Source organism: Homo sapiens, chromosome 22 (assembly GCF_000001405.40).
Source record: "Homo sapiens chromosome 22, GRCh38.p14 Primary Assembly".
Lineage (NCBI taxonomy): Eukaryota > Metazoa > Chordata > Mammalia > Primates > Hominidae > Homo > Homo sapiens.
In genome coordinates, this window is record NC_000022.11 from 31,388,482 (window position 1) to 31,411,694 (window position 23,213).

Below are 23,213 nucleotides of genomic sequence, written 5' to 3' on the forward strand. Positions count from 1 at the left end.
ATATATATTTAAGACAGTTAGGTCTTCTTGTTGAATTGAACCCTTTACCACTATAATGTCCTTTGTCTTTTTTGACCTTTGTTGGTTTAAAGTCTGTTTTATCTGAAATTAGGATTGCAACTCCTGCTTTTTTCTGATTTCCATTTGCTTGGTACTTTTTCCTCCATCCTTTTTATTTTATTTTTTTGAGACTATGGATGAGATAGGGCTGTTGAAGACAGAATACCATTGAGTTTTGTTTTTTGATCCAGAAAAATATGGAACATTTCATGAATTTGCATCATCCTTGCACAGGGGCCATGCTAATCTTCTCTGTATCATTCCAATTTTAGTATATGTGCTGCTGAAGCAAGCACACCAAGCTCATTTTTATTTTTATTTTTATTTTTTTGTAGAGACAAGGTCTTGCTATGTTGCCCAGGCTGGTCTCCAACTCCTGGCCTGCAGTGATCTCCCTACTTTGGCCTCCCAAAGTGCTGGGAGTACAGGTGTGAGCCACCTTGTCCAACCCTTTCAAGTAACTTTTTTTTTTTTTTTTCCGGATACAGGGTTTCACTCCATTACCTAGTCTGGAGTGCAGTGGCATGATCCTGGCTCACTGCAACCTTGAATTCCTGGCCTTAAGTAATCCTCCCACCTCAGCCTCCCCAGTAGCTGGAAACACAGGCATGCACCACCAACCCAGCTAATTTTTTAATTTTTTGTAGAGATAAGGTCTCCCTATATTGCCCAGGCTGGTCTCAAACTCCTGGCCTCAAGCAGTTCTTCTACCTCAGCCTCCCAAAGTGTTGCGATTATACATGCCTGGCCTATTATTGACAAATTGTTATTTTATTAATTTTAGATTTTTAACTTTTAGTATTTTATTTTTGTTATATGGTTCTCTTTCTTTTTTCCTTCCTTCCTTCCTTCCCTCTCTCCCTCCTTCCTTCCTTCCCTCCCTCCCTCCTTCTTTCCTTCCTTCCTTTCCTTCCTCCCCTCCTCTTCCCTCCCCTCCCCTCCCCTTCCCTTCCCTCCCCTCCCCTTCCCTTGCCTCCCCTCCCCTCCCCTTCCCTTCCTTTTCCTTTTAAGACAAGGTCTCGTTTTGTTGCCCAGGCTGCAAAGATGCAATCCTGGCTCATTTCAACCTCTGCTTGCCGATCTCAAGTGATTTCCCACCTCAATCTGCTGAGTAGCTGGGACTACAGTAACATGCTACCACGACCAGTTAATTCTGGTATTTTTTGTAGAGATGGAGTTTTGCCATGTTGCCCAAGCTGATCCTGAACTCCTGGGCTCAAGTCATCCTCCCACCTCAACCTCCCAAAGTGCTGGGATTACAGGCCTGAGCCACTGCACCTGGCCTGCATGGTTCTTTTTCTAATTTATTTTTAAAATTTTATTCTCTTTTGTTTTTTCTTGTCTCTCTTAATTTGAATGTTTAATGAATTTATATTTTGAAAAAATAGAAAAAATAATAAAAACTTTTAATACCACACAATTTTCACTGAGTACAGCTTTAGCAGCATTCCTATAGTTTTGGTATAAAGATTCATATGATTTAGATAATTGAAATTTCACTTTTTGGTTTTATTTATTTAGGAAAGTTTTTTTTTTTTTTTTTTTTTGAGATGGAGTCTCACTCTGTCACCCAGGCTGGAGTGCAGTGGCGTGATCTCTGCTCACTGAAACCTCCGCCTCCTGGGTTCACGCCATTCTCCTGCCTCAGCCTCCTGAGTGGCGGGGACTACAGGCGCCCGTCACCACACCCGGCTAGTTTTTTCTATTTTTGGTAGAGAACAGGGTTTCACTGTGTTAGGCAGGATGGTCTCGATCTCCTGACCTTATGATCCACCCGCCTCGGCCTCCCAAAGTTCTGGAATTACAGGCATGAGCCACCACGCCAGGCCATATTTAGGAAAGTATTTCTTAATTTCTGGGTTATATTTATCTGCTATATCTTTGTTGCTTATATTTAGTTTTACTGGATTATGTTCAGAAAATGTAGTTTATGTAATCTCTGTAATATTTGGACTATTTGAAAGATTTTGGTTTTGTTTTTTCATCTTCAATTGTCCTCTTGTGCCTTTTTTTTTGAGATGGAGTCTCACTCTGTTGCCCAGGCTGGAGGGCGGTGGTGTGATCTTGGCTCACTGCAACCTCCACTTCCTGGGTTTAAATGATTCTCCTGCCTCAGCCTCCCAAGTAGCTAGGACTACAGGCACCCACCACTGTGCTCGGCTAATTTTGGTATTTTTAGTAGAGATGGGGTTTCACCTTGTTGGCCATGCTGGTCTCGAACTCCTGACCTCAGGTGATCTGTCCACCCCGGCCTCCCAGAGTGCTGGGATTACAGGTGTGAGAAATAATTGTCTAATCCAAGGTCACAATTTATTGTTTTCTTCTACGATACGAGTTTTACTTCTTTTTTTTTTTTTTTTTTTTTTTTTAGATAGGGTCTCACTCTTTTGCCCAGGCTGGAGTGCAGTGGCTTGATCACAGCTCACTGCAGCCTCCACCTCCCCAGCTCAATCAATCCTCCTGCCTCAGCCCCCCAAGTAGCTGAGACTACAGGCGTGCACCACCATGCCTGCCTAATTTTTGTATTTTTGGTAGAGTTGGGGTCTTGTCATTTTGCCCAGGCTGGTCTTGAGCTCCTGAGCTCAAGTCCTAATCTACTTTCTCTATATATAGATTTAACTATTCTAGACATTTTGTGTAAATGATACTTCCAGCTTGGGTGACAGAATGAGACTCCGTCTCAAATAAATAAATAAATGATATCACACAGTATATGATCTTTGTGACTGACTTCTTTCACTCAGCATAATGTTTTTGCTGGGTGCAGTGGCTCACGCTTGTAATCCCAGCACTTTGGGAGGCCGGTGGGCGGATCACTTGAGGTTAGTAGTTCAAGAACAGCCTGACCAACATGGCAAAACCCCGTCTCTACTAAAAATACAAAAAAATTAGCTGGGCGTGGTGGTGGGCACCTGTAGTCCCAGCTACTCAGGAGGCTGAGGGACCAGAATCACCTGAACCCGGGAAGTGGCGGTTGCAGTGAGCCGAGATCGTGCCAGTGCACTCCAGCCTGGGCAACAGAGCGAGGCTCCATCTCAGAAAAAAAAAAAAAAAGTTTTCAAGGTTCATACATGTTGTATGTAGTGTGAGTATTGTGTTCCTTTTTTATGGTTGAATATTATTCCATTATATGAGTATACCACATTTTATTTATTCATTCATCAGTTGACAGGCATTTGGGTTATTTCCACTTTTTACCTATTATGAATAATACTGCTTTCTTTTTGTTGCATTTATCTGGTATATCTTTGATCATCATCTAATTTCATTCTTTCGGCCAGGCACAGTAGCTCACGCCTGGAATCCTAGAACTTTGTGGGGCTGAGGTGGGTGAATCACTTGAGGTCAGGAGTTCGAAACCAGCCTGGCTGGCATGGTGAAACCCTTGTCTCTACTAAAAAAAAAAAAAAAAAAAAATTAGCCGGGCATGGTGGCGGGCGCTTGTAATCCCAGCTACTGGGAAGGCTGAGGCAGGAGAATCGCTTGAACCTGGGAGACAGAGGTTGCAGTGAGCTGAAATCGCGCCATTGCACTCCAGCCTGGGTGACAGAGTGAGACTGTGTCTCAAAATAATAATAATAGTTTCATTCTTTTGTCCTTTCTTTGTCACATTGTTTAGGTGTTTTTTTGTTTTTTTCAAATCCAGCTAGAGGCTGAGCGCAGTGTCTCATGCCTGTAATCCCAGCACTTTGGGAGGCAGAAGCAGGAGGATTGCTTGAGCTCAGGAGTTTGAAACCAGCCTGAGCAACAGGGATACCCTGTCTCTTCTTTTTAAAAGGATTTTAAAAACAAAATCCAGCTAGATTTTTTACAAGTCCAATTTGACAATCTCTGGTTTTGGAAGGGGAATTAGCCTGTTTATTGTGTGATAACAGGTATATTGGATATTATTTCTTTCGTTCCATTTTATGCTTACTATTTTATTCTACTGTATTATTTCCTCTTTCTCTTTTCCTTACTTTTGGTACCTTAATCAAATTCTTCATCCCCCTTTTATTGTATTTTATTTTATTTATTTATTTTTTGAGACAAAGTCTCACTGTGTTGCCAAGGCTGGAGTGCAGTGGCACGATCTCGGCTCACTGCAACCTCTGCCTCCCAGGTCAAGCAAGTCTCCTGCCTCAGCCTCCTGGGTAGCTGGGATTATAGGTGCATGCCGGCATGCCCAGATACTTTCTGTATTTTTAGTAGAGACAGGTTTCACCATGTTCATCAGGCTGGTCTTGAACTCCTGACCTCAAGTGATCCTCCCACCTCAGCCTCCCAAAGTGCTGGGATTACAGGCATGAGCCACTGCATCTGGCCTATCCTTCTATTATTTTAGAAGCTCTGCTATGTTTTATCAGTTCCAACATAGCTACTTTCCCATTGCTAACATCATGATCAAATCTATATTTATCTGTTGACATATCACAAATAAAGAAAGACTAAACATTTAGATCACAATTATTTTTATATTCCCCCCAGTCCCAACACCTCCATTTTGCTAAAGTAGATTAATATTTCTACGCTAGGGTTTTAATTGGGTTTCTCTTTAGTCCAGTTCTTCTGTTTCTTCTCTTAAGATACTTAGAACAATAATTCTGGGGTTTTGGACATTGTTGTAACTTTTTGTTAATACAAGTTTATTATATCCTTTAGCAGAGTAGTATTTTATTTTTACCCCAAAACGACTGCCCATGCCAACCACATTCATGATCTTGAATGAGCAGAAGGTGTTCTGATATTTAAGAATAATTTTCTGGGCCAGGCACGGGGCTCATGCCTGTAATTCCAGCACTTTGGGAGGCCAAGGCGGGTGGATCACGAGGTCAGGAGATCGAGACCTTCCTGGCCAACATGGTGAAACCCCGTCTCTACTAAAAATACAAAAAAATTAGCCAGGCATGGTGGTGGGCACATGTAGTCCCAGCTACTTGGGAGGCTGGGGCAGGAGAATCACTTGAACTCAGAAGGCAGCGGTTGCATTGAGCCGAGATCGTGCCACCGCATTCCAGCCCAGGTGACACAGCAAGACTCCGTCTCAAAAAAAAAAAAAAGGAATAGTTTTATGGGCCAAGTTCAGTCTCTCCCATCTGTAATCTCAATGCTTTGGGAAGCCAAGGCAGGAGAATCGCTTGAAGCCAGGAGTTCGAGACCAGCCTGGGCAACAATGTGAGACCGTATCACTGCAAAAAATTAAAAAATTAGCTGGGTGTGGTAGCACAAGTCTGTAGTCCTAGCTATTCGGGAGGCTGAGGCAGAAAGATGGCTTGAGCCTAGAAGCTGGATGTTGCAGTGAGCTACCATTGCAGCCATTGCACTCAGGGGGACAGAGTGAGATCCTGTTGGAGGTGAAGCCAGCTGGACTTCCTTGGTTGAGTGGGGACTTGGAGAACTTTTCTTTCTTACTAGAGGATTGTAAAAGGCACCAATCAGCACTCTGTAGTTAGGATTGTAAAACACACCAATCAGTGTTCAGTGGCTAGCTAGAGTTTTGTAAAATGTGCCAATCAGTGCTCTGTAAAAATGCACCAATCAGTGCTCTGTGGCTAGCCAGAGGTTTGTAAAATGGACCAATCAGCGCTCTGTGAAATGGACCAATCAGCATTCTGTAAAATGGACCAATCAGCAGGATGTGGGTGGGGACAAATAAGGGAATAAAAGCTGGCCCCCCTCCCTCCCCCAAGCCAGCAGTGGCAACTCACTTGGGTACCCTCCCATGCTGTGGAAGCTTTGCTATTTTGGTCTTCGCAATGAATCTGGCTGCTGCTCACTCCTTGGGTCCGTGCGACCTTTAAGAGCTGTAACATTGACTGTGAAGGTCTGCAGCTTCATTCTTGAAGTCAGTGAGACCAAGAACCCACCAGGAGGACGGAACTCTGGACACACTTTCCCCAAAAAAAATTCCATTTCAGGATTCCTTGTTATATACACTCTCTCTCTAGCCCAGCGGCTCTTGTCATCTTGTGGAGTCTGCAGATGTGTGCTGTGTTTCCCCTTGTCTGGGCTTTGCTCATCTGCCTGGAATGTTTTCTTTCCTCCATGCCTATCTCCATCTTTCCAGGCCCATCTTTTCCCAGTCTTTTTCTGACCCAAACCAGATGTGAGCACTTTTTCCTTTGAATCTCACAAGGCACCCTGTAACTATTCGGACACCTACCTCATTGTGCCTTGTATTACTGACATTTGGGCATTCCCATACCTTCACGCCTCTTTTGTCTTCTAGGGAAAAAAAAAAGTCTCTTTGTATTCCCAGTGTCTGTCACCATCCCTGGCATATAATACAAACTGAACTGAAATGACTAGACATGGATCAAGGAATCACCAACTTGGATGGTGAAAGAAGCAGACTTTGATTTAAGGAGTACTTTTATAAACTTTTATTTTTTCCATTTATGAGACACATTTGTAGGGGAAAAACTGTCTTCATTATGCCCTAGATGTGCTCATTCCTGAGATTCCCCTTTCTTATTTTATTTTTTCATAGAGATGGAGTCTTGCCATGTTGCCCAGGCTGGTCTCAAACTCCTAGGCTGAAGCGATCCTCCTGCCTTGGCCTCCCGAAGTGCTGGGATTACAGGTGTGAGCCACCATACCCATCTGAGATTCCCCATTCTAAAAGGAAAACATCTATCACTCAGTAATGAAGTTAATCACTATCCTTCATCCAGGGCTTCCCATTCTCTACTGCTACAATATACTTGGAATTTTGATCTGTTTAGAAGGTAGCCTTAAAAAAATGGTAATGGCTGAATGTGGTGGCTCATGCCTGTAATCCCAGCACTTTGAGAGGCCGTGGTGGGTGGATCACTTGAGTTTAGGAGTTCAAGACCAGCCTAGGTAACATGGTGAGACCCTGTCTCTACTAAAAATACAAAAAAAAAAAAAAAAGTTGGGCATGGCAGTGCAAGCCTGTGGTTCCAGCTACTTGGGAGGCTGAGGTGGGAGGATGGCCTGAGCCCTGGAGGCGGAGGTTGCAGTGAGCCTAGATTGCACCACTGCACTCCAGTCTGGGTGACACAGTAAGACCCTGTCTCATAATAAATAAATAAATAAATAACATGGATTTTTCTTGTATCATTATCCTGTTACTTCTTCCATCAACCTGACTCAATTATTAAGGTGTCTATAATAACATATACAGACTACTTAGAAAAAAAATTAAATACTTTTTCTTTCTCTTTATGTTATTTTATTCTAAAATTTTTGTTGATATTTAATAGTTGTACATATTTGGGGGCTACATGTGGTATTTTGATACATGTATACAATGTGTCATAAAATCAGAGTAACTGGGATATACATCACTTCAAACATCTTTTCTGCTTCTTGAAAAAAAACAATTTCTCTCTTAAAATTTCCATTTTTAAAATATCTTTCAAGAGGTTGTTGTAGCTGCACATCTGCTGGTGCTGGAGATAGATATAGTATCACTCCTTCCTCATGGGATCATGTCTTTTTTGTTTTGTTTTTTTCTTCTTTGTCTGTTTTGTTTTTTTGAGACAGGGTCCCACTCTGTCACCCAGGCTGAAGTGCAGTGGCATGATCACAGCTTACTGCAGCCTCGTCTTCTTGGGCCCACCTCAGCCTCCCGAGTAGCTGAGATTATACCACCACACTGATTTTTTGTAGAGACGGGGTTTCGTCATGTTGCCCCCTGTACCCAGCTAATTTTTTTTATTTTCGTAGAGATGAGGTATTGCTGTGTTACCCAGGCTGGTCCCAAACTCCTGGGCTTAAGCGATCCTTCTGCCTTGGCCTCCCAAAGTGCTGGGAGTGAGCCAGGCGTGAGCCACCAAACCTGGCCAGGGATCATGGTTTAATGGGAGTCAAGAGAAGTAAAACAGTGCCCGAGAAAGCCTATGTATTTGACCACATATAATTGTTCTGGAATGGTGGGAGTGTCTCATCAAGAGATGAAGCTTTTCTGTCAATCTTTGTTTTACTTATTTATTATTTATTTTAGAGGTAGTTTCTCGCTCTTTCACCCAGGCTGGAGTGCAGTGGTGGGATCATAGCCCAGTGTAACGTCAAAGTCCTGGGCTCCAGTGAACCTCCTGCCTGAGCCTTCCCAGTAGCTAGGACTACAGGTGCGGGCCAACAAGCCTGAATAATTTTTTTTTTTTTTTTTGAGACAGGGTCTTGCTGTTACCCAAGCTGGAGTGCAGTGATCTGATCATGGCTTACTGTGGCCTTGACCTCCTGGGCTCAAGTGATCCTCCTGCCTCAGCCTCACACATAGCTCAGACTACAGGTATGTGCTACCACGTCTGGCTAATTTTTAAATTTTTTGCAGACCGGCTAATTTTTTTTTTTTTGTAGAGATGGGGCGTCTCCCTATGTTGCCCAGGCAGGTCTTGAACTCCTGGCTTCAATGCCCAGGCTGGTCTTGAACTCCTGGCCTCAAGCGATCCTCCCACCTCAACCTCTGAAAGCACTGGGATTAAACTGTGAGCCACTGTCCCCGGCCTATTTATTTTTTACACATTTAATACCAAGGTGCTAGTGCTTTATTCATATGACCAAATGGGCTCTCCTTGCTGCAGTTGGTACTTAACAGACATGGGGTAGCTATGGCTCTTAGGAGCTGAACCTAAGGTCCTGGCCTTGGCCTCCCAGCCTGGATACTTCTTTTTTTTTCTTCCTTGAGATAGAGTCTCGCTCTTGTCGTCCTGGCTCCAGGCTGTAGTGCAATGGCATGATCTCGGCTCACTACAACCTCTGCCTCCCGGGTTCAAGCGATTCTCCTGCTCAGCCTCCTGAGTAGCTGGGATTACAGGCGCCCGCCACCACGCCCGGCTAATTTTAGTATTTTTAATAGAGACGGGGTTTCACCATGCTGGCCAGGCTGGTCTCGAACTCCTGACCTCAGGTGATCCACCTGCCTCGGCCTCCCAAAGTGCTGGGATTACAGGGGTGAGCCACTGTGCCCAGCCCCAGCCTGGATACTTTTTTTTTTTGAGACTGAGTCTCCCTCTGTCGCCAGGCTGGAGTGCAGTGGCACATTCTTGGTTCACTGCAACCTCCGCCTCCCGGGTTCAAGGGATTTTCCTGCCTCAGCTTCCTGAGTAGCTGGGACTACAGGTGCATGCCATCATGCCTGGCTAATTTTTTGTATTTTTAGTAGACACCGGGTTTCACCGTATTAGCCAGGATGGTCTCGATCTCCTGACCTCGTGATCTGCCACCCACCTCGGCCTCCCAAAGTGCTGGGATTACAGGCATGAGCCACCGCGCCCGGCCTAAATACTTGTTATGTGCAGGAACATATCTGATTCACTCTCTACTCTGTCCCCAGTGTTGTCACAGTGCCAGGCAGCAGTTGGAGCTCTGTAAATAACGATTGCATGAACAGGATGGCCACCCAGGACTCGGGAAAATGAGTATTACTCTTTGGTGCCTATTGACAGTTCAGGGCCCCAAGGTGGGTCCCAGGGTGTCTTTGAGCAGTAAGTGTTAACTTATCTGCAGGCCTCATATAATAGATTTGCTAAGGAGCACCTACTCACAGAGCAGTGATGCCCTTGATATTGTCAGCCAATTAATTCCTTAAGTACTTCAAGTTAGGATAGGCCTGCTGATTTGATTTTATCTGTCTTTTAAGATTGATCTTTGATCATGTCCCATTCCAGCTGGACCTCCTCATCTTCCCTCCTCCATTGCTAATAGTGTGGGATCTAATTACCTCATCATCCCTTAATTTATTTATGAAAAAGGCTGAGGTTAAAGAAAAGAAAGAAGAAACTCTCTTTGGCCCTTTGGGGACCTTCTGTAAAAGCTTTCCCTTCTGTTTCTCCCTCTTTATGCACAAGAAAACCTCCCTTTTTTGTCTCTGGGAAGTTAGAATAGTTCTTGTTTACAAATTTAACTAAATTAAACTTCCCTCCCAGGGCTGGGTGGAGGCCAGCCCTGTGGGTTAAGCCTGGCCTGTCGACTGTGGGTTAAGCCTGGCCTGTCGACTCCCGCTGGAATAATCAATCTATCAAAACAACCCATTGATCCTGAGGCAAACCGCTTTCAAAACCACCACATAGTTCCTGGACGTCCTGGCTTCCTCATGACACTTGGGGAAGAGGAGTCTTTTGAAATTTTAAATTTTATTATTACACAAGTAATACATGGATACATTCGTCTTGTAAAAATTTAACTTCAAAATTCTGTGGAATAAAATGTGAAAGGCCTTTTCTTTGCATCCCATCCCACAGTTAAGAGCTTCTGATGTATTTTTCTGTTTAGGCCTTTAAACTGCACGTTCATACACGTACACCTATATAAATGTACATTTAATTTTAAAAATAACATAAATGGTATCACTACGTAGGTGCCCTTCTGCTAGTTGTTTTCCCATTTAACATGTCCTGGGTAGCCAGTCAGACCACAGATCTACGTTTTAACGGCTGTAATCATATTTCAAAAACAGGATAGAGGCATTATTCATTTATCCATTTTCCTACTGATGGGTGTTAATATAGATTTCAATTTTTTGGTATTACAAACTATGTTGCAAGCAGCAGTTCTCTGGGAATTATCCATTCAAGTATGCACTTATTTTGGGCTCCCCATGTGCTCTACTCGGGGTTCGGAGTAAACAAAACCGACCTAAAAATAATTTTGAATGATAGAAAGGGGGCATTTTCTTTATCCAAGGGGGTGAGGCAGGCTGAAGATGGGTCTCTACTCCCTCCAAGACCATGGAGGGCGTCGGGGTGTCACCCCAGCTGTGAAAAAGGGACCCAGGACCCGCAGATGCTGGCGAGGAACAGGGGTGCGGAGCATGAGTCGGCTTTGCACCACGCCCTGGGGTCTCCAGCACTGAAGCGTTCAGTACCATGCAGAGCAGCTGGGAGCGGGTCCCGCTGGGCGGGGCCGAGCTGCGCGCGACCCTCGGCGCGCTCGGGGAGGCCCAGACAGGGGTGGCCTCTCTGGCCTCCGCTCCCGCGGGCTCTATGACACCGCACTGGCTCGCGGGACGGGGCGGGGTCGGGTGAGGGGGAGGAGACAGCCCCACGCTTTGCGACTCGCGGTGACCCCTACGCGGAACTCTCTCGCGGTAATTCGAAGTACCGCGCCTGCGTGCTGCAGTAGCGCCTGGTGGCGGTGGCAGTTTGCCCGCGGGTGTGTGAAGGGAGACAGTGTGGAGGCCACAGGGTACTCGCCACGATGAGCAGCACCTTAGCTAAGATCGCGGAGATAGAAGCAGAGGTAATGGACGCAGCTGGCGGTTCACTCTTAGTCTGAGCATTCCTTCTTTGGTGGCGTCGCTCCTTCCTGTTCTCCTTTGAGCCGCGTCAGGACCGGGCCTAGATTCCGCGACTTCTCTCAGCGAGGCCCGTGTTCCGACTGCCCTCTGCCACGATTAGGAGTCCCCGACTCTCCTCAGTCAGGGCCCCCTTTCCCCTCGTCCCGCGTCTACGCTCTCGGACTCCCCTTTGCCCGGGCCCGCGTTCCGCACCCCTGCACCTTAGGCCCTTAGTCCGTTCCCCCTCCCAGTGTTTGGCTCCTGTTCTGATGTTGTTTCTTTCCGTTTTGCTCTGAGAAACACTGAATCCTGTCCCTTATTCCATCTCTGACTTGGTCAGATAGTTCAGGATCTTTCCTCATCATCCTTCGCTGCGTCCCCCTTATTCCCCCTTTTCCCAGTGTCTACCCTAATGACCCCCTGATTCAGAGTATTTGCTCCCGGTAATCGGATCTGGAAGTAAAATGACATCTGTGTGGGAGCAGTTTATTCCGCCTGGATAGTGTGTGATTCCATTGCGTGCGGCCCTGAGAGCGCTTTACAATTAGGAAAGTGGTGTCCCAGTGTTAGATGGATCCAAACAGCTGCAAATAGTAGAAAAGGAACCCGCAGACGGGTTTCAGTCTAGTCTGGGGGCACTAATTGGAATGACCTTAATCGTCTTTCCTCTTTGGGCTTTGCTTTGCTTTGTAGTGAGGGAAATGAGCTGGATGGAGGAGATAATGGACTTTTACTCTTTTAAAGCCTGTAAACTGGGTGTGCTAACATTAGTAGGACTTGGGGAAAAAAATTATCCTCTCAAAGCTGGGGGAAGCGTTCACTGCTTCTAATTTATGGCTGTGATTCCTCCCTTTTAGATGGCTCGGACTCAAAAGAACAAGGCCACAGCACACCACTTAGGGCTGCTTAAGGCTCGTCTTGCTAAGCTTCGTCGAGAACTCATTACTCCAAAGGGTGGTGGTGGTGGAGGTCCAGGAGAAGGTTTGTGTTCTTCTTCAATATATATATTTTTAGGTATAATTTTTGTCAAAATAGTACATACATGTGGTTTAAAAATAACTAAAGATGGCCCAGTGCAGTGGCTCAACGCCTGCAATCCTAGCATGCTGGGAGGCTGAGATAGGAGGATCACTTGAGGCCAGGAGTTCAAGACCAGCCTGATCAACATAGACCCCCATCTCAAAAAAAAAAAAAAGTTTTTTAAAAACAGAAAAATAACTAAAGATGTTCTACTAAAGTAGATTTATATTTTCTAAGCATGAATTCTTGAACTGTGTTTATTTTTATTCTGCCGGTTTCAGAGGCAAATGAATATTGTCTAAGTGTACTGTAGTTTTATTTATATCCTGCACTGATACAAAATAGATTTACATGCGCTGGGTGCAGTGGCTCACCCTTGTAATTCCAGCACTTTGGGAGGCTGAGGCGGGAGGATTGCTTGAGGCCAGGAGTTCGGAACCAGCAAAGCCCTGTCTCTATGGGCTTAGAAATGAGGGGTCCCCATAGGTATGAAAGAAGATGTACCAAAAAAAAAAAAAGGCTGGGTGCGGTGGCTCACGCCTGTAATCCTAGCACTTTGGGAGGCCAAGGCGTGGATCACGAGATCAGGAGTTCAAGACCAGCTTGGCCAGCATGGTGAAACCCCATCTCTACTAAAAATACAAAAATTAGCTGGGCATGGTGGCGCATGCCTGTAATCCCAGCTATTTGAGAGGCTGAGGCAGGAGAATTGCTTGAATCGGGACCCAGGAGGCAGAGGTAGCAGTGAGTGAGATTGTACCACTGCACTCCAGCCTGGGCTACAGAGCTAGACTCTGTCTCAAAAAAAAAAAAAAAAAAAAAAAGTATCCTAGCATGGTGGTGCATGTTTGTGGTCTCAGCTACTTGGGAGGCTGAGTTGGGAGGACTGCTTGAACCCAGGAGGTTGAGGCTGCAGTGAGTTGTGATGGCACCACTGCACTCCATCCTGGGTGATAGAGCGAGATCTCATCTTAAGAAAACCAAAGTAGGGCCAGGCGCGGTGGCTCACTCCTGTAATCCCAGCACTTCGGGAGGCCGAAGTGGGCAGATCACAGGTCAGGAGTTCGAGACTAGCCTGACCAACATGGTGAAACCCCGTCTCTGCTAAAAATACAAAAATTAGCTGGGCATGGTAGCACGAACCTGTAATCCCAGCTACTCAGGAGGCCGAGGCAGGAGAATCGCTTGAACCTGGGAGGTGGAAGTTGCAGTGAGCCGAGATCATGCCACTGTACCCCAGCCTGGGTGACAGAGCTAGACTCTGTCTCAAGAAAAAAAAAGAAAAAACAAAACCAAAGTAGATTTATATTGGCTTACAGAAATGTAAACCTATATCATCAACAAGATTAAAAATAAGTAAAAAAATTGATGCAAAGGGAAAACGTAGGAAAAATAAGTCGAAGCCAAGCGAGATAAGATTTAGGACTAAAAGGAATGGCGTAAGATCTGTGCACCTGGTAGAGAAGGGCCACAGATTTGACTCTGAACTTGTTGGCAGCCATTGTAAAAAGAAAAAAGAAAAAAAGAAAACCCAGTCAGTCATACAATTTACAGAATTTGAAAGACAAAAAAACAAAAACAAAACTCTTTTTAATTAATTAATTTGTTTATTTTAGTTATAAAAGGGCAGCTCCTCCATAGGCAGAGCAGGGCTACACCATAGGTAGAGTAGCTAACAACTCTATTTTTGGATCATTTTTCATACATATATTTGGGCTGTACCTTTTTTTTTTTTTTTTTTTTCGAGACAGGGTCTTGCTCTGTTGCCCAGGCTGGAGTACAGTGGTGTGATCACAGCTCACTGCAGCCTCAACCTCCTGGGCTCAAGCGATCCTCCCACCTCAGCCTCTGAAGTAGCTGAGACCTACAGGCATATGCCACCATGCCTGGCTAATTTTTGTATTTTTTGTAGAGACAGGGTTTTGCCATGTTGCTCAGGCTTGACCTGAATTCTTGGACTCAAGAGATCCTCCTGCCTCAGCCTCTGGAATAGCAGGGACTATAGATGTGTGCCACTGTGCCTGACTTTTTTGAATACAGTTTTTTTATATCAAACACTGCATTGAATTTTGTGAATTGCTGTGCCCTCAAGTTTTGTGTGCTTTAGTTCTCCTTTAAAGGTAAACCATAAAAAGTTTGAGAAATAGTGCCTAGAGGGATAGGCAGTAAAAATGTGAAAGAAGTTATATGAGTCTTAACACTCTGGGGGATAACTCTCCTCTTTTTGGTATTCATTGATGTTTTAGGTTTTGATGTGGCCAAGACAGGTGATGCTCGAATTGGATTTGTTGGTTTTCCATCTGTGGGGAAGTCAACACTGCTTAGTAACCTGGCAGGGGTATATTCTGAGGTGGCAGCCTATGAATTCACTACTCTGACCACTGTGCCTGGTGTCATCAGATACAAAGGTGCCAAGATCCAGGTGAGTCAAGCCTGCAGACTAAGGAAGGAAAGAAATCTATTCTTCATTTAGGAAGAAGTTTATTGGGAGCTCACTGTATGCCAGGCCTGATCTTTGATCTACCAGGCACTTACTACCTGGTAGGGGAAATAGAGCAGTACGATAATAAAATGGGATAGCGCATGTGAAAATGCAGAGAAAGGGCCGGGCGCAGTGGCTCACGCCTGTAATCCCAGCACTTTGGGAAGCCAAGGCGGGCAGATCACCTGAGGTCGGGAGTTCGAGACCAGCCTGGCCAACATGGAGAAACCCCATCTCTACTAAAAATACAAAATTAGCCGGGTGTAGTGGCACATGCCTGTAATCCCAGCAACTCGGGAGGCTGAGGCTGGAGAATCGCTTGAACTACTTTTTCACCTGAGGGTGGGGGCTGGGACTACAGGTGAGCACCACCATGCCGGGCTAATTTTTTGTATTTTTAGTAGAAATGGGGTTTCACCATGCTGGTCAGGCTGGTCTCGAACTCCTGACCTTGTGATCCGCCCGCGTTGGCCTCCCAAAATGCGGGATTACAGGTGTGAGCCACCGCGCCCGGCCCCCTGGTTGTATTTTTAATGACCCTTTTTCCAGCTGGTCAGGTGCCCATGCAGAGACACATGTCCCTTTCTGGGATCCCGTGTCCAAATGTATATAACAAGAATGAAGCAGTGTGGACATATCTGGACCATGGCTTGATTCTAGCTGGTTTCAGAGTCTTGTTGAGAGTCACAGCTTTGGCAGCTCAAGAGAATAACTTTTTTTTTTTTTTTTTTTTTTTGGTAGGATGCTATTGACACCTCTCTCAGGACTTTTGAGTATTTCAAAATAGAGAGTTGCTTAACTCCTCTCCTCTTTCCCAGAAAACCTTCACTCATTTCAGTGTCTTCTGACCTTAGAGACCCCCAACTTTTTTTTTGCATGGTGCTCTCTTTCCTCCCTTTGTCCTCTGCCTCTGTTTTTCATCCTCTTTTGGCTTTCTCCAGAAACTAAGTTATGTAAGCTTACTAGTGGGTATCCTTAATCTTCTTTTTTTTTTTTTTTGAGACAGAGTCTGTCTCCCAGGCTAGAATGCAGTGGTGCAATCTCAGCTCACTGCAATCTCCGCCTCCTGGGATCCAGTGATTCTCCCGCTTCAGCCTCCCGAGTAAGCTGGGACTACAGGCACGCACCCCCATGGCTGGCTAATTTTTGTATTTTTTTGTAGAGACGGGGTTTCACCATGTTGGTCAGGCTGGTCTCGAACTCCTGACCTCATGATCCTCCTGCCTCAGCCTCCCAAAGTGCTGGGATTACAGGCGTGAGCCACCGCGCCTGGTCTCGCCTGCTTTAACTTCTAAAGGCATTGGAGTTTGAAGTAGTTTAACATTTAATTCCTTAAAATTGTGTAATTCCATGTTTTTTTGTTTTGTTTTGTTTTGAGACAGCATCTTGCTCTGTCTCCCAGGCTAGAGTGCAGTGGCATGATCTCGGCTCACTGCAACCTCCGCCTCCAGGGTTCAAGCAATTCTCCTGCCTCAGTCTCCTGAGTAGCTGGGATTTCAGCCACATGCCACCACACCCAGCTAATTTTTTTGTATTTTTAGTAGAGACGGAGTTTCACCATGTTTGCCAGGCTGGTTTTGAACTCCTGACCTCAAGTGATCTGCCCACCTTGGCCTCCCAAGATGTTAGATTACAGGCGTGAGCCACTGCACCAGGCCCCATGATTTAAATAAATATTTTTTTTTTAGGTTTTGGTTGGTTGTAACATGAAATTCGGATATATAAAGCATTGACTTTTTATTGAATGTTACTTATTAGGCATTGACTATTTTATTGAATGTTGTTATTGAATGTTGAATTATTAGTTGCTACATTTAAATTCTTCAGCCTAACTTTTAAAATATTTCCCTCTGAAGAAAAGCTAAATTTAGGTTGCCTTTACTTTTGTAGAGGCCTTAATAAATTTTCTTTTTTTTTTTTTTGAGACAGAGTCTTGCTGTGTCACCCAGGCTGGAGTGCAGTGGCGTGATTCGGCTCACTGCAACCTCTGCCTCCAGGATTTAAGTGATTCTTCTACCGCAGCCTCTCAAGTAGCTGGGACTACATGCGCATGCCACCACACCTGGCTAATTTTTGTATTTTCAGTAGAGACTGGGTTTCACCATATTGGCCAGGCTGGTCTTGAACTCCTGACCTTGTGATCCACATGCCTTGGCCTCTTAAAGTGGTGGGATTATAGGCTTGAGCCACCGTGCCTGGCCGGGCCTTAATAAATTTTCTGCCTGTGTTCAGCTGCCACAGTTAGAAAGCCCTTGCCCTTTTTCCCTCAGTTTATTCATTCTCTCTTTCAGATGATCTTTTTGAAGTTATAGTCATATTCCAGTTTTGAACAGTTTTAGATTATTCATGTAGATTATCCTTTTGAGTTCTTGCTAACATCAGTTAGGCTCATACTGTTGGGCATGTGTGTGTGTGTGGGGGGGTTTATTTATTTTTTTATTTGAGACGGAGTCTTACTCTGTTGCCCAGGCTGGAGTGCAGTGGCGTGATCTTGGCTCACTACAATCTCCGCCTCCCGGGTTCAAGTGATTCTCCTGTCTCAGCCTCCCAAGTAGCTGGGATTACAGGTGCCCACCACTATGCCCAGCTAATTTTGTATTTTTAGTAGAGACGGGGTTTCACCATATTGATCAGGCTAGTCTCGAACTCCTGACTTCAGGTGATCCACCCGCCTCGGCCTCCCAAAGTGCTGGGATTATAGGCGTGAGCCACCATGCCTGGCCGTTTCTTTTTTCTTTTTTCTTTTTTTTTTTTTTTTGAGACGAAGTCTCATTGTGTTGCCCAAGATGGAGTGCAGTGGCACAATCTCGGCTCACTCCAACCTCCTCCCGGCTTCAAGTGATTCTCCTGCCTCAGCCTCCTGAGTAGCTGGGACTATAGGTATGTGCCACCATGCCCGACTAATTTTTGTATTTTTAGTAGAGACGGAGTTTCACTATGTTGGCCAGGCTGGTCTTGAACTCCTGACCTCATGATCTGCCTGCCTCGACCTCCCAAAATGTTGGGATTACAGGTGTGAGCCACTGCGCTTGGCCACTTACCTGCTTTTTGTTACTGTAGATTAGTTTACATGTTAAGAACTTTACATAAACAAAAACCACATATAAATATAAATGCACTTTCTTTTCCATAGGCTTCTTTCATTCTGCATAATTTTGCATTCATGTTGGTGAGCTTTTAATTCTCTCTCGTGGTCTTTTTTTCTCTCATTTTGTATAAACTTTTTGAGCTTGGCCAACATGTTGAAACCCTGTCTCTACTAAAAATAAAAAATTAGCCAGGCATCTTTAATACCAGCTCCTAGGGAGGTTGAGGCAGGAGAATTGCTTGAACCTGGGAGGCAGATGTTGCAGTGAGCCGAGATCGTGTTACTGCACTCCAGCCTGGGCGACAGAATGAGACCCTGTCCCGGAAAAAAAAAAAAAAAGTTGCAAACATAGTACAAAGAGTTCTCGTATCACTTGCCTGCTTCTCCTGTTGTTAACATCTTACATAACCATAGAAAAATTATCAGAGATAGATGAACATTTCTGCAACAGTATTCACTAAACTATAGATCTTATTTTAATTTTTACCTGTTTTTTCCACCAGTGTCCTTTTTCTCTTCTAAAATTTTTATCTAGGATCATCCCATGATGCATTTAGCTATTTCTGTCTATTTGTTTGCCATCTGCAGTAGTCTCTGTCTTATCTTTTGTGACCTTGTCACTCTCAAAGAGTAATGATCAGTTATTTTGTATAATGTTCCTCAATTTGGGTTTGTGTGATGTTTTCTCTTGGTTAGACTTATTAGGTATTTTTGGCAAGAATACCACAGAAATGATACTGTCTTTCTCAGTGCCTCCTACCATGGGATTCATATTGTCAGTATGTCTTATTGGTGATATTGTCCTCCATCAATTGGTTATGGTTGTGTCTGTAGGGTTTCTCTAAAGTTACCTTTTTTTGGACAGTTAATATATATTTTAGGGGAGATACTTCAAGAAGATGCAAATCCTGTTTTTCCTCAAACTTTTGCCTGCTCATTTTCGCATCCATCTGTGGGTCTTGTCTGTAACAGTTATTATTGTACTTTTGCCTCATGGTAATTCTCCCTCGCTCTGTCACCCAGGCTGAATGCAGTGGCACGGGTACGATCATGGCTCACTGCAGCCTCGACCTCCTGGGTTCAAGTGATCCTCCCACCGTAGCCTTCCAAGTAGCTGGGACTATAGGCATGCACTACCATGCCTGACTAATTTTTTATTTTTTTGTAGAGACAGAGTCTCAATATGTTGTCCAGGCTGGTCTTGAACTCCTGCACACAAGCAGTCTACCTGCCTCAGCCTCCTGAGGTGCTGGGGTTATAGGCATGAGCCACTGTCCTGGGCCTGAGTATGTTCTTTTGTTTGTTTTATTTTTATTTTTTATTTTCATTTTTCTTTTTTTTTTTTTTGAGTACGTTCTTGAATGGAGAAGTTGAACTGTCTCGCACCTGCTAAATCAGTTTTCATTGCAGTTTATTTAATGCAAAGTATATTTCTGTAATTTCTTATATTCTTAGAGCAAAGCATATCTGATTTAAATTATGTTTTGGTCAGGCGTGGTGGTTCAAGCCTATAATCCCAGCACTTTGGGAGGCCGAGGTGAGCGGATCACCTGAGGTCAGGAGATCGAGACCAGCTTGGCCAATGTGGTGAAACCCTGTCTCTACTAAAAATACACAAAAAAAATTAGTGGGGCATGGTGGCGGGCACCTGTAATCCCAGCTACTCGGGAGGCTGAGGCAGGAGAATTACTTGAACCTGAGAGGCAGAGGTTGCAGTGAGCCGAGATCACACCACCGCACTCCAGCCTGGGTGATGGAGCGAGACTCCCCTTTTTTTCCTTCTTTTTTTTTTTTTTTTTTTTTTGAGATAGAGTCTTGCTTCATTGCCCAGGCTGGAGTGCAGTGGTGTGATCTCAGCTCACTGCAACCTCTGCCTCCTGGGTTCAAGCAATTCTCCTGCCTCAGCCTCCTGAGGGAGCTGGGATTACAGGTGCCCGCCACTACGCCCCACTAATTTTTTTGTGTATTTTTAGTAGAGACAGGGTTTCACCATGTTGGCCAAGCTGGTCTTGATCTCCTGACCTCAGATGATCCGCTCACCTTGGCCTCCCAAAGTACTGGGATTACAGGCTTGAGCCACCATGCCCAGCTGAGAATCCCTATGAAAAAGCAAGGCCAGACACTGTGTCTCATGCCTATAATCCCAGCACTTTGGGAGACTGACGCGAGCAGATCACTTGAGGTCAGGAGTTCGAGACCAGCCTGGCCAACATGGTGAAAACTTGTCTCTACTAAAAATACATAAAAAAAATTGGTGGGGCATGGTGGCGAGCACCTGTAATCCCAGCTGCTCAGGAGGCTGAGGTGCGAGAATCGCTTGAACCTGGGAGGCGGACATTGCAATGAACCAAGATTGCACCACTGCACTTCAGCCTGGGCGATAGAGCGAGACTCATTCTCAAAAAAAAAAAAAAAAAAAAAAAGATATTTTAAGTGATGTTTTAATAAGCTGCATCTGTTTTCAGTTCATTTATGTGTATAATTCAGTATTTGCCATACAGTAGACCCTTGGTATTTTTAGATTTTATATTTGTTTTAACTGTTTTGACTGATTCTTAAGGGCAGTCAAATTAATAGTTTATAATTTTGCTGAGATGTAAATTTGAATCACATGTGCTGTGGGGTTGGTTTTTCAATCACATCATTAGGTACACTGAGTTCTGTGAAGTTTTACCTTACTGCATTTCCTGGGCAGTTGAGCAGTCATTTTTATCTTTTTAAAATCTTTTAAAATTTATTTATTTATTTTTATTATTTTTTGAGATGGAGTCTTACTCTGTCGCCCAGGCTGGCATAATCTCGGCTCACTGCAACCTTCGACTGTCGGGTTCAAGCCATTCTTGTGCCTCAGCCTCCAGAGTAGCTGGGATTACAGGTGTGTGCCACCATACCCGGCTAATTTTTGTATTTTTTGTACAGACGGGGTTTCACCATGTTGGCTAGGATGGTCTCGAACTCCTGAGCTCAAGCAATCTGCCTGCTTCGGCCTCTGGGAAAGTGCTGTGGAATTATAGGTGTGAGTTACTGGGCCCAGCCTGAGCAGTCATTTTTTACTGGGGACATACATCAGAGTCACTTGTAAAGCCTTTTGAAGTACAGATCCCTATCTGTTGGCCCTTCAAATCAGAATCTGCAGGGATGGGTTTCAGCTCTCTACATTTTAAAAGTTTTTCCAGGTGATTCGGTTGTGCCTGCTTAAGAACGGCTACAAAAATTTTTGTGAGTTGGGGATTTGCAGAAATTGCAATATGTATCATATGTAAATATCAAGATTCAGCTGATACCTGCTGTAAGGAATTTATATGGAGGCTCAGCCTTCTGAAAAGTGGGGGAACACTGAAAAATATTAATGTAGAATTGGCTGGGCATGGTGGCTCACTCCTGTAATCCTAGTACTTTGGGAGGCTGAGGTGGGTGGATTGCCTGAGCTCAGGAGTTCGAGACCAGCCTGGGCAACACGTCGAAACCCTGACTCTACTAAAATACAAAAAATTAGTCAGATATGGTGGCATATGCCCTGTAGTCCCAGCTACTCTGGAGGCTGAGACAGGATAATTGCTAGAACCTGGGAGGCAGAGGTTGCAGTGAGCCGAGATCACGCCACTGCATTCCAGCCTGGGTGGCAGAGTGAGACTCCGTCTTTTAAAAACAAACAAACAAAAAATAATGTAGAATAATGGATTTTGGCTAGAAAACATGGGTTATAACCTATTAGGACTATGACTTTGGACAAGTCACTTACCTGCTGTGAACTTCAGCTAGTATCCTTATCTCACAGGGTTGTTAGGCATTTTCAAGGAGGTAAGGTACATAAAAAGCCCGGCCTAGGTGCAGTGGCTCATGCCTGTAATCCCAGCACTTTGGGAGGTCGAGGCGGGCAGATCTCGAGTTCAGGAGTTTGAGACCAGCCTGGCCAATATGGTGAAACCCCGTCCCTACTAAAAATACAAAAATTAGCTGGGCGTGGTGGCGTGCACCTGTAGTCCCAGCTACTCGGGAATTTGAGGCAGAAGAATCGCTTGAACCCGGGAGGTGGAGGTTTCAGTGAGCAGAGGTGGCACCACTGCACTCCAGCTTGGGCGGCAGAGTGAGACTCCTCTCCCAAAACAAACAAACAAACAAAAAACGCCTATAGGCTGGCATCTCCCAAAACTAACAGACAAACAAAAAACGCCTATAGGCTGGGCGTGGTGGCTCACGCCTGTAATTCCAGCACTTTGGGAGGCTGATGCCGGTGGATCCCTGAGGTCAGGAGTTTGAGACCAGCCTGGCCAACATGGTGAAATCCCCGTCTGTACTAAAAATACAAAAAAGTTTGCCAGCGTGGTGGCAGGTATCTGTAATCCCAGCTACTTGAGAGGCTGAGGCAGGAGAATCCCTTGAACCCGAGAGGCAGAGGTTGCAGTGAGCTGAGATTGTGCCGTTGTACTCCAGCCTGGGCAAAAAGCATGAAACTCCATCTCCAAAAAAAAAAAAGCCTGTAGCTGACATTTAGTAGGTGCTTATTAAAAGTAATATTCACACACTCGCTTATAAGGAAGATTGGATTTGGGTCTGATAAATTATAGGTACTTGAGAAATAAATTAATTCTGTTTGATATTTTCAAATTTATAACCAGTTTTTTCTTTCATCCTCTTCCCCCATTCTTAATCTTGCAGCTCCTGGATCTCCCAGGTATCATTGAAGGTGCCAAGGATGGGAAAGGTAGAGGTCGTCAAGTCATTGCAGGTGAGTGGTTTAAGTGCCACCATCCTGGGATATCATTCCCTTCTCTGGTACTATTCTTTTAGTCAGGGACTACTTGGCTTGGAGATTATACCACAGTGAAGGGCATAGTTTCACCTGACTTCTCATTTAAGTTGAAGCTTGAAGGGACCTCAGCTGCAACGTTAGCAATGTTCTGAATCTCTGCTGTCCAACATTGTAGCTCCTAGGCATGTATGGGTATAGAGCTCTTGAAATGTGCCTAGTACAATTAAGGAGCTAGTGGAGTCTGTATTGGACAATGCAGCTTTAGACATTTTATATGGCTGTCGTCTTGAGATTTTCTGCTCTTGTGTGGGATCTTCTGTTTCCTAGAGGCAGTGTCTACTTTTTTGGGATGTTTTGCTGAAGCACATTCTTTAATAACTTCCCCAGAGAAGATGAATGATACAGTTAAATTTTTCTGTCTTTTCTTTTTTTTTTTTTTTTTGGGACAGTGGCTCACTCTGTCATCCAGGCTGGAGTGCAGTGGGAGAATCTTGGCTCACTGCAACCTCTGCCTCCCGGGTTCAAGGGATCCTCCCACCTCAGCCTCCCAGGTAGCAGGGACTACAGGGGTGTGTCACTATGCCTGGCT

General features: G+C 44.8%; 1 protein-coding gene and 1 pseudogene across 1 annotated transcript in view, besides 3 other annotated features; one reads left to right on the forward strand and one right to left on the reverse strand.

Annotated features, from left to right (window-relative positions):
* RNU6-338P (RNA, U6 small nuclear 338, pseudogene) lies at positions 253 to 356 on the reverse strand (annotated as a pseudogene).
* Positions 10,783 to 11,062: a silencer, noted in NCBI's record as "silent region_13631". NCBI's record gives its function as "represses an Ori minimal core promoter by ATAC-STARR-seq in GM12878 lymphoblastoid cells {active_cell/tissue: GM12878}" and the evidence as "EXISTENCE:reporter gene assay evidence [ECO:0000049][PMID:35858748]".
* The window catches only part of DRG1 (developmentally regulated GTP binding protein 1), a 34,849-nt gene continuing 22,758 nt past the window's right edge, over positions 11,123 to 23,213 (forward strand). Inside the window, exons 1-4 of the mRNA NM_004147.4 lie at positions 11,123 to 11,244; positions 12,139 to 12,262; positions 14,548 to 14,723; positions 22,531 to 22,600. Coding sequence (NP_004138.1) covers positions 11,203 to 11,244; positions 12,139 to 12,262; positions 14,548 to 14,723; positions 22,531 to 22,600 — 412 coding nt within the window. The 5' untranslated portion in view covers positions 11,123 to 11,202. The remainder of the gene's footprint in view (positions 11,245 to 12,138; positions 12,263 to 14,547; positions 14,724 to 22,530; positions 22,601 to 23,213) is intronic.
* Positions 11,150 to 12,055: an enhancer, noted in NCBI's record as "H3K27ac hESC enhancer chr22:31795617-31796522 (GRCh37/hg19 assembly coordinates)". NCBI's record gives its function as "activates a minimal SCP1, AML or CMV promoter by ChIP-STARR-seq in primed H9 embryonic stem cells {active_cell/tissue: H9 hESC(primed)}" and the evidence as "EXISTENCE:reporter gene assay evidence [ECO:0000049][PMID:30033119]".
* Positions 11,183 to 11,232: an enhancer, noted in NCBI's record as "active region_18857". NCBI's record gives its function as "activates an Ori minimal core promoter by ATAC-STARR-seq in GM12878 lymphoblastoid cells {active_cell/tissue: GM12878}" and the evidence as "EXISTENCE:reporter gene assay evidence [ECO:0000049][PMID:35858748]".